Below are 15,836 nucleotides of genomic sequence, written 5' to 3'. Positions count from 1 at the left end.
CACGCAATCTTCAAGCTCTTACAGCCCTGAAACAAAGCCTGGTAACAGTCTCCTTCCTTCCTTCCTTCCTTCCTTCCTTCCTCCCTCCCTCCCTCTTTTCCTTCCCTCCCTCCCTCCCTTCTTTCCTTCCCTCCCTCCCTTCCTTCCTTCTTTCCCTCACTTCCTTCCTTCCTTCTTTCCTTCCTTCCTTCCTTTTCTTTCCTGCTCTCCCTCCCTTCCTTTCTCTCTTTCTTTCTTTTTTTCTCTCTCTCTTTTTTCTTTCTTTCTCTTTCTTCTCTCTTTATCTCATATTTTCCTTCTTTCTTTTTAAAATTTTTTATAGTGATAAAATACACATAAAATTTATCCTAACCCATTTTAAGTGTTAAGTAGTATTGAGTGTATTCACATTGCTGGGCAACCAATCTCCAGCACTTTCTCGCCTTAAATCTGAAACTCTGCACCCATTAAACACAATCCCCATTTCTCTCTCCCCCTAGTCTCTGGCAACCACAATTTTCCTTTCTGTTTCTATGAGTTTGACCACTCTGGATACTTCACATAGATGGAATCATCTGGTATTTTTCTTTTTGTGACTGGCTCATTTCATCTAATATAATATCCTCAAAGTTTATCCACATTGTAGCATATATCAGAAATTCCTTTCTTTTTAAGGCTAAATAAAAAAGTTAATGTAGTATATTGCCTTCTAGACTTCCTATATATTTTTTGCTAGTTTATTATCTGAGTGCTTATAATCAACATTTTAAAAGAAAGCAAATATTATAACTAGCAAGAACAACAAAATCAGCAAAGGAAATGCCCACTATCACTGTTTTCTACCATGTGAAAAATATCTGGGCATTAAGTATGCAAATGATCACTGCTTTCTACCATGTGAAAATATCTGGGCATTAAGTATGCAAATGATCACTGCTTTCCGCCACATGAGGACACATAGAAGCCATTGTCTATGAGGAATGGGCCCGCCCCAGACACTGAATCTATTGGTGCCTTGACCTTGGACTCCAGAACTAAAAACTGATGCCAAAGTCTGGGTTTTGTTATCTTCCCTGGAATCATCAGGAATATCCCAAGTTTGAAATCTGGTTTATTTCCATCACTTTGGTTTGGGACACATCCATGGATGCCTGGAAGGGGAGAGAAGTGTCCTTTTAAGTTTAGCTGTTTCCAACCATTTTTTTATTTGTTTTATTTTGATTTAGTAAATGTATTAAATGTCTGCCACGTGTTAGAAACTTTTATGTTAGTAAATCATAGTTATAAGAAAGAAGGGGAGAGAGAGACGGATGCTCACTGAGCCTCCCTCCCCAGTGAACGCTATCCATAAATTGAGAATCGTAGCTAGGTAGTCTCTCACTGATGGTGACAGAGTCAAATAAAATATAAATTGACACTAAAGGAAAACTGGAAATTTGTCAAAAGATGACCTTCATTAAGGCAATGCACTTATTTGAATGATCCGTGGTGTGGCCTGGGCAATGAAAGTTTTTTGGGTGCCCCAGGGGGGCCTTTTGGGGGCCTATTTTATCACCTGTTGTAAAGCCAGGGTGGGGAGGAATGTGGTAGGTAGGTGAACTGTTGATGCCAAGGCCAGCTGACATCGGGCCCTGGATCTGATCCCTCTCACTGCTCCTGGGCCTGACTCCAGCCCTGTTCTCTTCTGACTTCGTCCATTTCCTTCTCTACCAGATCATTCCCTTCACTGTCACTCAAACAGGCTGCCATTTCTCCAATAGCCAAATAAGAACCCTTTTCTTAACCCACTCTGATCCCTAACTTCTTTCTCATCTTTCTGCTCCTCTTGATGGGAAAACTCATTAAATGAATTATCTGCTCTTGTCGCCAAGTCCTCTCTCACTGCAAGAATGCTTTCTTTGCCACCTCTCCAGGGAAGCTGCCCTTGTCCAGTGACCTCCAGGTTGCCAATGCAATGGTTTTTCTCAGTTCTTGAGGATTTGACCTCTCAGCACTAAGTTATCTCTCTGCTTCCTGAAACGCTTCTTTCACTTGGTGTCCAGGTGACCAATCCTCTTGACTTTCCTTTCCTTGCAGGCTCCTCCTCAGTTTGCTGCACGTGTTCCTGTCTGTCTCCGCAGATCTGGTCCAGCCTTATGGGCCCTACTGCTGTTCCTGAAGCACGTCAGGCATGACCCTAGCTCATGGTCTTTGCACCACTTGTTCCCTTGCCTAGAGCTCTCTTCCCCTAGGGATCCATACCCACTTCCCAAAGGTCCTCCCTCTGCTTCCCCTTCAGAGAGCGTGTCCCTTCCCACCAGCTCTCAATATTCTTCACCTACATCTACAGTGCCTCAAGCACTTACGTCTGCTGATTTGCTTCATCTGTCTTCCCCTCTAGAAACTGAGCTCCACATGGGTAAGCATTTATTTTGTTCATTCTTTGCTGTCCTCAGTATCTGCAAAGTGCCTGCACACCGTAGGTGCTTAATAGTTGTTCATACACATTTTAGAAGAAAAAATATATCAAAAATTGATCAACAGAGTTTATTATGCATTTATTTTAATAATTAGTACTTAGTCATAATCTTAAAGTTTGCTAAGGATAAAATATAAAATTTCTCAAAAGATTTTATTTAAATCTTCAAGATAAACATTTCTTTCTTCTTTACTTTCTTTTTTTAACTACAGAACTTATGTGACCACTTACACAGATTTACATTAAGTAGCTACTGGCCAGCACTCTTGATCCTGAGGTAGCAAGAGTATACATACATATATATATATAGAGAGAGAGAGCTCAGAAATATAATTATATTAAAATGCTGTATATCAATTGCATTTTCATTTAATACTATATCTTAGGCATCTTGCTGTGTCAGTAGACTTGATTTTGCATCATCATTTCAATGACTAAAGGGCTGTATTACTTAATAGTAATGACAATTTCACTACTGTCATTGTCATTACTATTAATGCAATGTGCCTATCTATAGATAGACCTTAATAGTAATGACAATGATAGTAGTGAAAATTTAGAGTACTTATAATATGTCAGGTGTTTTGTTAAGCACTCAAAGCACATTGCTTCATTTAATTCCCACAACAACTCTAAGAGGCGTGATTAATTATTTTGTTATACTTATGAGAAGGCCAAGGCTTAGAAAGTCACTGGGCTGAGATTCAGACCCAGGCTTATCTGGTTTCCTGTGCGGACTCTTATACCACCCGCTGCTGCCCACACATTTTTCCCTGTCTCTATTTCCCTGGTGATGAATTTCTAGAAATAGAGTTTCTGGGTCAAAAGTTATGTACAATTTGACTTTTGAAATATATACAAATTTCCCTCCAAAAATGTGTCATGATTTGTTATTGCTTATTTACCACAATCCAGCCATCCTGGGTATCTTATTATTGCTTTAATATGCATTTTAATTACTGATGGTGTTATATTTCTTCTTTTACAAATTGCTTGTTTGTGTACTTGTTTTTCTATTGAGATATGTCTTTTTCTTATATTGATAGAAACTCTTATGTCTAGACTATCCTTATAATATTTTTTCTAGTTTATTTTTCTTTATATGTATAGATTTTGTCATTGAACCAAAGATTTGCATTTTGGTGTAGTCAAATCTCTCCGTGGTGGTTTCTGGTTTTGTGCCCAATATCATAGACAAAATCACTGAGAAGTTTATTCAATCATTTTAATTTTATTTTTTAAATTAAAGTATTTAATTACCCTGAATTTTGTGTGTATACATCGTAAGGTAAGAATTCAGATTTGTTTTTTTCTAAGTTATTAGCCAAAAACCCAATACATTTATAAAATATATCTTTTTCCCAATGATTTGAGACGCCACTTTTTAAATTTATTTTATACTTGAGGTTTTTTCTAGAGTGACCACTTCAGTAATCAATCTTTTTTTTTTGTTTGTTTTTAGAGATGGGGCATCTCACTATGTTGCCCAGGCTTGCCTCAAACACCTGGGTGCAAGAAATCCTCCCTCCTCAGCCTCCCCAGTAGCTGTGACTACAGGTGAGAGCCACCACACTTGGTTTCAGTGGCCAGTCTCATTTTCTTGCATGAGCACTGTACTGTTTTGAGTGTGTAATAAAATAACTTAGTATCTGGTTGTACTTGTTTCACCCTCTTTCCCATTTCTTTAACAGTCATGGCTACTTTCCCATATATATTTTTTCTCTGTTATACTTATGAAAAGTGCAACAGAAAAAAATATGTATATGGGAAAGTAGCCATGATTGTTTAAGATAAGATTTAAAATTTTATATTTTCAATTTAGAGTCTTTGTACCTAAGGAAAATGTATCACTTTTTATTTCCTCAAGTCTTTGTTTATAGTCTTTAAAGAAAAGTTTTTGTTTTCTTCACATAAATTCTATACCACATTTGCTAATTTTATTTCTAAAACTTTTATCACTGCATTTGCAAATGGAATCTTCTATTTTCATTATACTTTCTGCATATTTATTGTTGGTATCGTAAAATGTTGATTGTCAAGAGCAAGTGTTTGGGGGCGGGTGTGAGGCTGTGAGAGCTTGTGTGCACTGCTGGTTGGAACATGAATTCAGAGCTGTGGGTTCTGTCTGGAAAAGAGAAGATATGGGATTCTCTTCAGTCCCTGGTACGTACTCTAGATCCCTGGGATCTGGAGAAACACTTGAGACAAAGAGATATATATATGAATGCTCATGACAGCAAACAATGGGATAAATAGAGCTCTATTCATGCACTATAATAATTCATAGTAAGGCAATGATGGCTAGAGCCCCACGCACCCACTCAGGTGAATCCCACAAATTCAGTGCTGATTGAAACAGGTGGGCCAACAAAGAACCCTTCCAGTAGAATGCCATTTCCTTGAGACAGCAGCCAAACAGCCAATGAAATTTAAGAAGACATACATTTTTGAAAATTTTATTTATTGTTTTTCTGAGATAGGGACTCACTCTGTCACCCAGGCTGGAATGCAGTGGCATGATCATAGCTCACTGCAACTCGGAACTTCTGGGCTCAAGTGATCCTCTGGCCTCAGCCTCCCAGTTGTGCTCCATCACTTCTGGATAATTTTGTTTTTTGTATCTTTTTTATTTTTGTAGAGACAGGGCCTTGCTATGTTGCCGGGTGTATTAGTCTGTTTTCATGCTACTGATAAAGACATACCTGAGAATGGGTAATTTATAAAGAAAAAGAGGTTTAATGGACTCACAGTTCCGTGTGGCTGGGGAGGCCTCACAATCATGGAAGAAAGCAAAAGACACTTCTTACATGGGGGCAGGCAAGAGGGAATGAGAGCTAAGCAAGAGGGGTTTCCCCTTATAAAACCATCACATCTTATGAGACTTATTCACTACCATGAGAACAGTATGGGGGAAACTGCCTCCATGATTCAGTTATCTCCCACCAGGTCCCTCCCACAAGGTGTGGGAATTATGGGAGCTACAATTCAAGATGTGATTTGGGTGGAGACGCAGCCAAACCATATCACCAGGAATGGTCTCAAACTCCTGGCCTCAAGTGATCCTACCACCTCAGCCCCCCAAAATGCTGGGATTACAGGTGTAAGCCACCATGCCTAGCTCATATTTTAAAATGTATTAAAAAGTGCATGAAAATGATCAACACCAAATTCACAATAAGGATTTACCTCTAAGGGAAGAATGTGATCAGGAGAAGAACATGCAGGGCTTCAACTGCAGTGGCAATGTTTAATTTCTTAAACTGGATAGTGGGTCCACAAGTGTTTCTATGGTTTTCTTATTTTGTTCTATATGTCTGAAATATACTAATTTATAAGTAAAAACATTATTGCTTTTTGTATGCTCATATTGTAACCAGATGGCTTACTTAGTTTTTCTGTTGGTTCTAAGAGTTTTTCCACTGGATTTTGTTGGGTTTTCCTGGTAGTAAACATATTATCTGAAAATATAAACTGTCTTTGTCTTACCACAGTATAACACTCTGATTCTGATTTTTTCCTAATTTTATTATAGCATTTCCAGAACAATGTTAGATGCTGTTGAGAAAAGTCCTCTATTCACATATTGCACCATCGAACATGACATTGGCTATTGTTTCAATGCAGTGATAAGACATATGTGACTTAGAGATGTGGAGTATGATGTATGCACACATGTGACAGACATATATATATAACATGAATGTATTGTGGTTTTTATCTCATATCTTACTACAAGGCATCTTTCCATCTATTTTAATAAGACTTGTTAGCCTTGCATATGTGTTAAATATTATCTTTTGATGTATAAAGACAATCATATGATTTTTCATCATTTGATCTATTAAAAGAGCATACTATATTAATAGATTTTTTCATGTTAAACCATCCTTACATTCCTGGAACCTGACCTTTGAATATTACTTTTAAAAATACACACCTATTTATCTGCTGACACTGTATTAAAGACGTTTGCTTTTATGGTTCAAGCTGGATTGGATTGGGTAGTTTTCCCATTTGTGGTTGCCCTGTTGGCAAGAGGGTTAAGCTGACATCAGGTTAGAAGAGGAAAGCTTATTTCTTTCTGCCCTGGAACAGTTTATAGGCCCTAGGATTTATCAGTTCCTTGAAGAAATGAAAGAACTTTCTAAGGAGATCATGGATTTTAAGATGAGAGGTGTGGGGTGCTTTTTGACAGTTTTCTCAATTTTTACACCTCTATGATTTTATTTTCATCTTTAGTAATGAAATCCAAAGACAGCCTTGTTTTACAACCACTGCAGTTATGATGTCTCCCAGCCTTACTTGTTTCTCCTGCTGCAGGTAAAATGATTCTTGTGTAGACTGAAGACATATTTTACTACCATCTGTACAATCTGTGTTTTATTTGTGAGAACTGTGTTTTTCCCTTTTTCAGACTTCCCTTAGCAAATAAAACAAGGCACTTCCTTCAAGAGCTGAATAGGGGATATTGCCAATGTTTTATCCAAGTTATGATAACCTCAGTATGGCTCACAGTACATTTTCAGGCAGCCACAAAACATTAGAGTGACTAGCTGCCCTTCTTACTAAGAAAGGAAAACAAAGAAATTCGGACGAAAAACAATAAAGTAAAAATAGTGTCCTTTGCAGCAGGATTTTAAGAGGGCAATCATAATAAACCTTGTATTTCTTTCTTAATGTTGACAGGTTCCTGCCATGAGGTAGACAGTAGAGGTCAATTAAGATTATTGGTCGGAAAAGTTTTAGGCAGAAGGGTAAAAAATCCATTATCTGTCTTAGTGTCAAAGTCAACCTGTAGAAAATTCTGAACAATGACATTCTGTGCAATAGCAGAAAAATATTGTTGTAAATAACTTATAACTTTTTAAAGTAGCCTCATGTTGTTTTTCAATGGATTCAAGACAGCCTTCACTCACAATGATTACAATGGTTGTTATTATTTTGTAAACGTTCCCAGTCAATATTCACTAAAAATCCTCATCTGATCATTTTCGTTATTCCAAGAAATAAGACCCAAGCCTTATGTAATTAGAGGTTCATTATTCTTTTTCAATATGTATTTCTGCAATATTAACTGCAAACCTCTTTAAGCCCACATTAATATTGGATGTGTTCATGATTGCATTAAGCTAATCAGCTTCCCCTCCCCCCTTTGCTGTAACACAGATTTGGGAGTTTAGCTTTTATCTCACTAGTTCTGTGGACTAGCCCCATGACTTACCTGCTAGTAGGCACATGCCAAGGATGGCAGGAGGCAACAGATTTGCCACACTCCTTAATACTAGGATTATTCTCCTATTCTACTTTAGGAGTTGCTTCTTTTACTAGTCCTTGCCTTGATGAGCAAGAACAGGACTTTGCAGGCCAATAACCTGAAGAATTTTAGTTCTTCCATTTACTTCAACAACACTTGGCAAATTGATGTCTAAACTTCATTCTTAAGTCTATTATTAGCAATTTAGGTTCAGAAAAACACCCATCAAATCAAATTAAATTAAATTAAACATGAATGTTCTTAGTTTCATGGTTTAGTATATATATAATTTATAAATATGCTATACCATAATCCTAAGAAATTTATCCTCAGTTTTGTCTGTATTTAAATAGCTTTATGATTAAAAAAAAGTTTATGTCAACTTTAGATGGTCAAAATATTTTTATAGGGTCCATATGTCTCCAATTTGAGAACACATTTCATGTCTAGCTCACTCTGGTACCTACAATGTCCTTCCTGCTCCAAAGCCCAGTAGAATTCCTTTTCCTCTCATAAACCTTGACTCCAGAATAATGGGGAAGCACACAGCACTCACACTCCAGGGTAAAAGCTCAAGGTTTTGAGCTCCAGGTGTCCTCACTCACATTCTCTGTACTTTTCTTTGACTTGATTCACTCTTTCACACCATGTGTGTTTATCTCCTCATCAAAATGTTTGCCTCTGTAAGGACAGAGACTCCACCCCTCTCACCTATTCATGCCCTCTGGGCAGAGCGCAGAGTTTTTGTGCAAAGTAGATGCCCAATGAATGTCTTTTAAATAAAAAGAAACTCAACCAAAGACCAAGACCACCCTGCATTGTTACATCCGTTCACGTGTTTCACAGCATCTTGGGGGATGAAGTTAAGTTTCTAACACAACTGCAGCATCTCTAGCAAGCACCCACCTCATCTGCATGTGAATGCCTGCAAGCACAGAGAGCTCACTGTAGGGCAGGCAGCACACTTATGGTGGTTACTTTGGATGGTTAGTTAATCCCTTCTGAGATTATATTGGAGAACCTGCCATTTTGTGCCATTTGCTCCAATTCTGCTTTCTGGTATTAGACAATCTGAACCTGTTCTGCACAAGAGTTCAAAGAGACATGCATGACAGGTGTTTTTAATTCCATTTTTCCTATGAGGAAACTGAGACCCAGAGGACTTAAAAGATTTGCCTAAGGTCACTCTAGTGAGGATAGAAGCAGAAACAGTTTCAGATGTTTCACAGGTGAACTTGGCCATCTGGATTGAAAGCTACTGGAAGATATGACCCATGTCTCAAATCCATTTGCACCTCCCTTACCACGTGGCCTAGTCCATAGTAGAGTTCACAATAAGTGCTTCTTCAATGGATGCATAAATGCATAAATTAATGTCTCTGGGATGAATAAATATAGGCTAAAGACCCAGACACTGTACCCTACACTTATCAGAGACTGTAGCAATTAGCATATGCTGCTTTGTGGATTAAAGCCACAGGTGATTCATGAGACTGTTTGGAAATGACACAGGACTCTGGAGAGAATCTTGCCAAAAATGGAATACTACAATATGCTTTGAAAGAGGCAGAAATTGGTATCTTGGCTCATGAGGCATACAACATGGGAACAGCCTGAACCACCACTTGGCTCTGTGCTGGCATTTTCCTAATTCTCTAAATATATGTAGTAAGAGGCCCCAAAGGAGAGGGGTGAGATCTACCTGCTTAGACTCAGAGCACAGACTCCCCCACACCTCAGTTCCTGGGAGGTCAGATGGGCAATCACTAAAATGGAGGAAGACAACCTTTGTAACTTACTCTGGTGGAAAGAAGGGGGAGCCCAGAAGAGCAGGTGCATCTTGAACTGGGCAAGAGGCAGCCCTGCCTGGTCCTGTGCAGGTGGCTACAATGGCACAGCAACAAGGTCAAAAGAGGGGCTGGTGCCAGTAGCAGCAGAGGCCAAGTGCCCAGACACTGTTTGCACTTGGTCAAGATGATGATAATTGGTAGGCAAGGTGCCTGCAAGAGCACCCATGTCACCCATAGTCAAAGCCAAGACTTGTCTATGACCACGGGGCTTTTAGTGTGATGATTCCCCAAAGCCGAACAGAAAGAGGCTCAAGGAGAGAGACTTGGCAACATTTGCTGGAGGAGTAGTGGCTGATGCTCAACCTATGGAAGACTGAGAAAAAGGAGAATTCTACAACAAGCACAGAAATGCTTTCTCTGCAGAAGGCAACTTGCGGAAGAGCTGGTGTGAACCACAGGCAGAGCAGATTGAGCAGTGGTCCTGAGCTAGGTGGCAGCTGGCCTGGCAACCAAGAGAGACTGGGGAACATCTAAGAAATCCCTGAGGCTTCCCAGATATCCTTGGAGAGCAGAATTTGCTGTCCTGCAACTGAGCAGGATAAGGGTTCAAGTGATTGTAATTTGGAAAATTTATGTGGCCTTGTGAGACTTTACATGGGGGAAAATTTGTAGCACCCCATAGACTGTTTGCCAGATGGAAACATCCAGTGTCTGCAGCACTGAGTGGACCTGCACTTCGCCAGGCTGCTAAGACCTCGGCAGTAAGACCTGGACCTTGAAATTCCTGCACCAACTATGTGCCAGAGTTTAACTATGTGGATTCAGAATCATTGAATTTGACAGAAATTCAGGGTCATCAGAAAGAGAGAATTAGTGGTTTACGACCTTATTCAGCACAACCTGCCTGTGTCTCAGGAGTGAGACTTTGACTCCTACATGCAATGGTAAAATAAACAGCGTCCAAGCTTCTCCTTTTCTAATCTTCCAAATTGATCTGCTTCAATTCCTAAGCAGCCCACTTCATTTGAAATAGTTCTAGAAATGTCTAAAAGTCATTTTGAGTGAATTTGTCTCTCTAGTAGATGAAGAAGTAGATCATTCTTTGATTTATTTTTTCTCCTCTGCCTTGGTTTTCCAGAGCGGTGTCACACAGATGATATTGCTGACTGATTAATGTACATTTAAGGTATGTTGAATTAAGTGTCTGATGCACACATGCCCAAATAATCAGTTAACCAATTGCCTGGCTTTTCTTTTGCTTCGTTTAGCTCATCAACTGCTCTTCCCACTACTGACCTACATGCCTCATAGTGTGGCCCTGTACAGCAAGATGACACCAAACAAGCAGATGTCTCAAGCAGAACAGTCGGCTTTCATTAGAACGAATACCTTTTTCTTAGCCTCATCTTCTTTTAAAGAGGTTTCTTTCATTTATCTTCGTTTAAAATGTGCTATTGAACTAAAACAGGGCACTGTTAACAGTCACATCTGAGATTCCTGGACTCACAGTGAATCCAGAGCTGATCACCCCCTGCTTCTCCTATATCTTTTATACAACTAAATCTAACTCTTAGCTTCCTCTCTGCAAAAACTCCTTTTATCTTGCTTATTTGAAAAATCTCATTAGCACATTTTGGTCTTTTCCTAAGAATGTGACTGAGTCTTAGCCATAGCAAAAGGAACTCTGTAATCAGCCATGATCTTTCAATAGCCCCCCTGAGTTTGTAGAAGGAGTGAGATCATCAAAGCAATCCTTGACCCCAGGAAGAAGACAACAACCAACATGAGCAGAGTCAGGGAACTGAGTCCAGTGGGTAAGTTTTCCTGAGTCATAAACAAATCAATGAGTCACCGTTAAAGAAGAAAAAGTCTGAATGTTCTCCAGATTTCATTAGAAAAGAAATTATTACATGCACTTTCACGAGCCTTTGTCTTGTTTTTCAATGTGCCACTTAAACACACAGAGACAGCCGAGAAGTGTTATTTGCAAAGTCACCGTCAATGTGTAGCAGACACGAGTGGGTTTGAGAAAAGGTGGAATCTCTGCAATGCTCACCATTTTCAGGATCTCCTATACGCCTCTACTTCCAGTCAATCACCTGTCACCCAAGGACTTCTACAACCTATGGCTTCAGAGAAAACCCTCCGTGTTTCAGTCTGTTTTTGAAGAAAAGGATGGCCCTGAGCAGGTCTTAGCTGTGAGCAGGACCCTGATATGCTTGCAGCCCAGTGTTTGAGCATCTTCAGTCCTTGCTTCCCTAGCCACCTCCACTTCTCCAGAACTCATTTATAGTGGCCAAGTCATGGGTGGAACTTTTGATGGGGTGAGGAGGAGTAAATTTTTTTTTCTTTTTGAAAAATAAAAAAAAAGTGTATGAAAAGTCTTTAACAGTATACACTTTTGTAAACCAAAAGTGACAGAGGCAGATCTCAATCCATTTAGAGGTTTATTTTGCCTGTGTTGAGGATGCACCTGGGAAAAAGAAACAGAAGTCACGGTAGGGCCTGTGTCCTTTGCTTTTTCCAAAAAGGGTCTTGAGAACTTTAATATTTAAAGGGGAAAGTGCAAGAAGGAGGGGAAGAAAAAAGAAAAAAATAAGAAGAAGTCAGAATAGGTAATGAGGCAAGCGGTTCCATTCTTGTGAGGCTCTGATTAGCACTCCGTGAATCTACATTTTGTATTTGAAAAGAAAGGGAGTAGAACAATAAGTCAATTATGCATTCCTCTCATGCTCAATAAATCTATATTTTACATAAGAGAAAGTAAACATGTGAAATTACAGCTATCTGTCTGGGGACAGAAGGAAGGCAGTTTTTACATGACTCAGTTCCCAAGCTTAACTTTTCCTTTGGCATAGTGAGTTTGGGGTCCCAAGATTCTATTTTCCTTTCACACTTTTCTGGCACATAAGTTGTATTTAACATATGAAAGGAAGCCCAATTTTATTGTAAACAAATATTTTAAAGTACTCTGTTTATCTATTGCTTATATAAGGAATATTTGGTTGCTGCAAAATAAAACCAAAAGTTTCATAACATAAGTGAAATGTTCCCCTCAACCACCTCTTCCCAATCTCAAGCCCCAGAGAGAACCATTGCTAATTGGATAATGGACTTTAAATGAACAGAATGAAATTGCATTAAATTGAGACTTCGAGTAATTTTAGGAATTAAAAAAGGCATTGAGATGCAATTATCAATTTGCCACCATTCTTGTCTGTCTCTTGCTTTCATGTCTGATGTAAGAGTGTCAGTAACATAGGATCAGTTCACATTTCAGGTGCATGGCTCAGCAATGGTTTTGCTGGATCCTACACACATTCTGGACTCATCCACCTTTGTACTTTGATTGGTTCCTACATGCTACCCAGCCCAGGCCACACCTGTATACTGTGTAGACATATCTCCCTGGATGTGCCACAGGAATCTCAGACACATCTCAAAACTGAAACAATCATCAGCTCCTACTGCCACCTATGGTTCCTTGTGCCTCTGTCTGTCCAAGTTACAGAGCCAGAAAACCAGCAATCATCCTAGGCTTCACCATCCCTGACACAGACTCCACACTATTCTTCATGCAGTCCTATGGATTTTCCTCTCCAAACCTCTTTCAAATCCATGCTATCTTAATCTGAATTGATTCATAGCCTCATCTCTTCTCAACACATTGCAGCAGGCTTGCCAACTCTGCATCTCCAAAAAGACCTCTCCAATCAGGTGTCTTCCCCACATTTCCAATGGCATTCCCTCTTCTTTGCAAGGGATAACTGAACTAGCTTCCTAATTGGCTTCTCTGCTTCCAGTCTTTCTTTGAAAGACGGCAGGTTAAATTCTACTTATTCTTTTGGTCTCAGATAAATGCCATTTCCTTGAAAAGGCCTTGCCCTGATCACCCATTGAAATGAAACACCCTGCCATACTTGTTTATAGCATCGTGGAATTCCATTCATTCCACAGATTATAAATATGTATTGACTTTGGTGTCTATTTATTTAAACCCAACTTTCCTACTAACTTGTAAACTGTTTTGGTCACAACTATATTCCCAGCACCTAGCCTGTCTCCCGGCACAGAGTAGGCCTTCAAAAAATATTTGTTGAATGAATGTGTGAACAAATGGTGTTTTTGAATGGTTCTCTCTCTCTCTTGCCTCTTGTTACTGTTATTTCATTCTCAGGCTAGAGAGATCTCTCAAAGTTGCACATATGATCTTGTCAGTCTGCTGCTTAAAGATTTTAACAAGGGAATTGCAAGAATCCATTCAAACTCTCATGCTTTCTGCTGCTTCCCAACTCTAGTACCCCCTACATTAATCCCCAGGGTGCTGTGAACAAAACCCAACATAAAAGGGAAAACTGGTGGGACCCAGCATAGGCAGGAGAGGAAGTCATTTAATGACAAAGTGACTACAACAATGGTAAAACCACATACAGAAGGGAATACAATTTAAAAATAAAACCATGCCACTGGTACTCTATCCATTTATCCTCTAAACAACTACTGTTTCCCCAGTGGACCATGCTGTTTGTGGTGCTGTGCCTCCTGCCTTCCCTCAAAGTCCCATTCACTATGTTCTGCTCTAGGAAGCCTCCCTGGATTCTTCAAACATTGGACCTTGGTGCAGCTTCTACCTAGATCAAATGAGAGTCTTTTTAAAAATTTGTTTATATAAGCAGCTATCTCCCCCAATAGTTTGTATATTCCTTGAGGACAAGCACCGGGACAGTCATTTTCATATTCCAGCCCTTTCTCTGCACCTATAGAATAGTAGGTGCTCAATAAAATTTGATTGAAAGGGTGATATTTGCAAGAATTAGCATCCTGAATAACAAAGGAAACAGTGGTCAGGATGGACCCATCATGGAGACGACGGCTGGGAACACAGGTCACCCGCAAGGGCTTGCGACAACTGGGTGCCATCCTGGACCTGAGGAATGAATGGATAAACAAGTGGGTGAAAACTGAGCACCCTCCCTTCCTGTGCTCGTCTTCTCCACTTCTCCCAAGGACAAAGCATGGCAGATTGAGGAGCAAGGCTCCCTCTCTCCAGCATTCCTACTGTGGCTGTTTCTGAAAGTTCCTGCTAGCCTGGCAGTCAGCACAGGGCCTGAAGCAGCCCTGTCTGCATGTCTGTTGAAGCTGTAATCACAGCACTTGGTGCCATTTGTCTTGAGAGGGTTTCCCTTGAAACGCATTCATGTCCCATGTAGAGTTAACACACTTCACCAGCATAGTGATTTATTGTTTAGGGAGTAATTATCAGAACTTCTTGTCAACTCTGCTCTATTTTGCTGAGGGGGGAAAAAGATGTATTTTGAACGAAACAAGTCCAGGGCACAGTACCTGTAAGGAATTAGCTGATGAATGAGAGAATGAAGGCACAATGCCGGCCCTAGTAGGGGATGTAATCCTCACCAGATGAAGTCAAACCAGCCTGCCTCTAAATAAATACGACTCTCCACTGTGGGCACAGCATGCTTTGGGCTGGATCAGCAGTTTTAGATGCTTTCCTTCCCTGCACAGGCTTAGTGTAAACTGCGGCCTGAATAGCATTTTACCTTTTTCATTCTTCATTTTTCTCAGCTTGGCTGCCAGTTTTGCTGCAAATATTCAGTTGACCGTTGAACAACATGGGTTGAAACGGCATACTTATATGTGAATTTTTTTCAATAAAAGTTCTACCCAGTGCGCCTGCCTGTCTTGCCTCCCCTTCCACCTCCTCCACCTCTGCCCCCACTGAGACTCTATGTAAAGATGATGATCCACTTCCACCTAATACATAGTAAATATCTTTTCTACATAACATTTTCTCTCTCTAGCTTATTCGATTGTAAAGAATGCAGTATATAATACATATAACATAGAAAAGATGTAATAAGTGACGGTTTATGTTATCCATAAAGCTTCCAGTCAACAGGAGGCCATTAGTAGTTAAGTTTTGGGGTAGTCAAAAGCTATATGTGGATTTTAAACTGCAGGGATCAGTGCCCCAAATCCCAGCATTGTTTACAAGTAAATTGTACTATCCTACAAAAAAGGGTCATTTCTAATCTCCAGGCCTGCCTCTCTCCAACACCCCAGTCCCACAAGTTCAATTTCTTAGTCTTCCAAAGGAACACCCATTATTATAAGATCCACAAATTCTCTGAGACCAAGGCCATCACCTTGCTGTATAGTTAGTGCCCTGCCTGAAATTTATTCTTTCTATGTATGCTTTCACCCTTCCTGTAGCCTCCCAGTCATTAAATGACTTCCTCTCTCTCCTCTGTTGCGTCCCACCAGTTGTCCCTTCCATACTGGGTCTAACTCATGGCATCCCGTTGACTTTAGACCCACGGCAGCTTCCGTGGCTTCA

The 15,836-nt window shown here is 39.9% G+C and overlaps 1 annotated feature.

Moving 5' to 3' along the window:
• Positions 8,209–8,863: an enhancer, noted in NCBI's record as "OCT4-NANOG hESC enhancer chr5:10904846-10905500 (GRCh37/hg19 assembly coordinates)". NCBI's record gives its function as "activates a minimal SCP1, AML or CMV promoter by ChIP-STARR-seq in naive H9 embryonic stem cells {active_cell/tissue: H9 hESC(naive)}" and the evidence as "EXISTENCE:reporter gene assay evidence [ECO:0000049][PMID:30033119]".

This window comes from Homo sapiens, chromosome 5 (genome assembly GCF_000001405.40).
Source record: "Homo sapiens chromosome 5, GRCh38.p14 Primary Assembly".
Classification (NCBI taxonomy): Eukaryota; Metazoa; Chordata; class Mammalia; order Primates; family Hominidae; genus Homo; species Homo sapiens.
The sequence above is the reverse complement of the archived record's forward strand: the minus strand, read 5'-3'. Positions and strand labels throughout refer to the sequence as shown.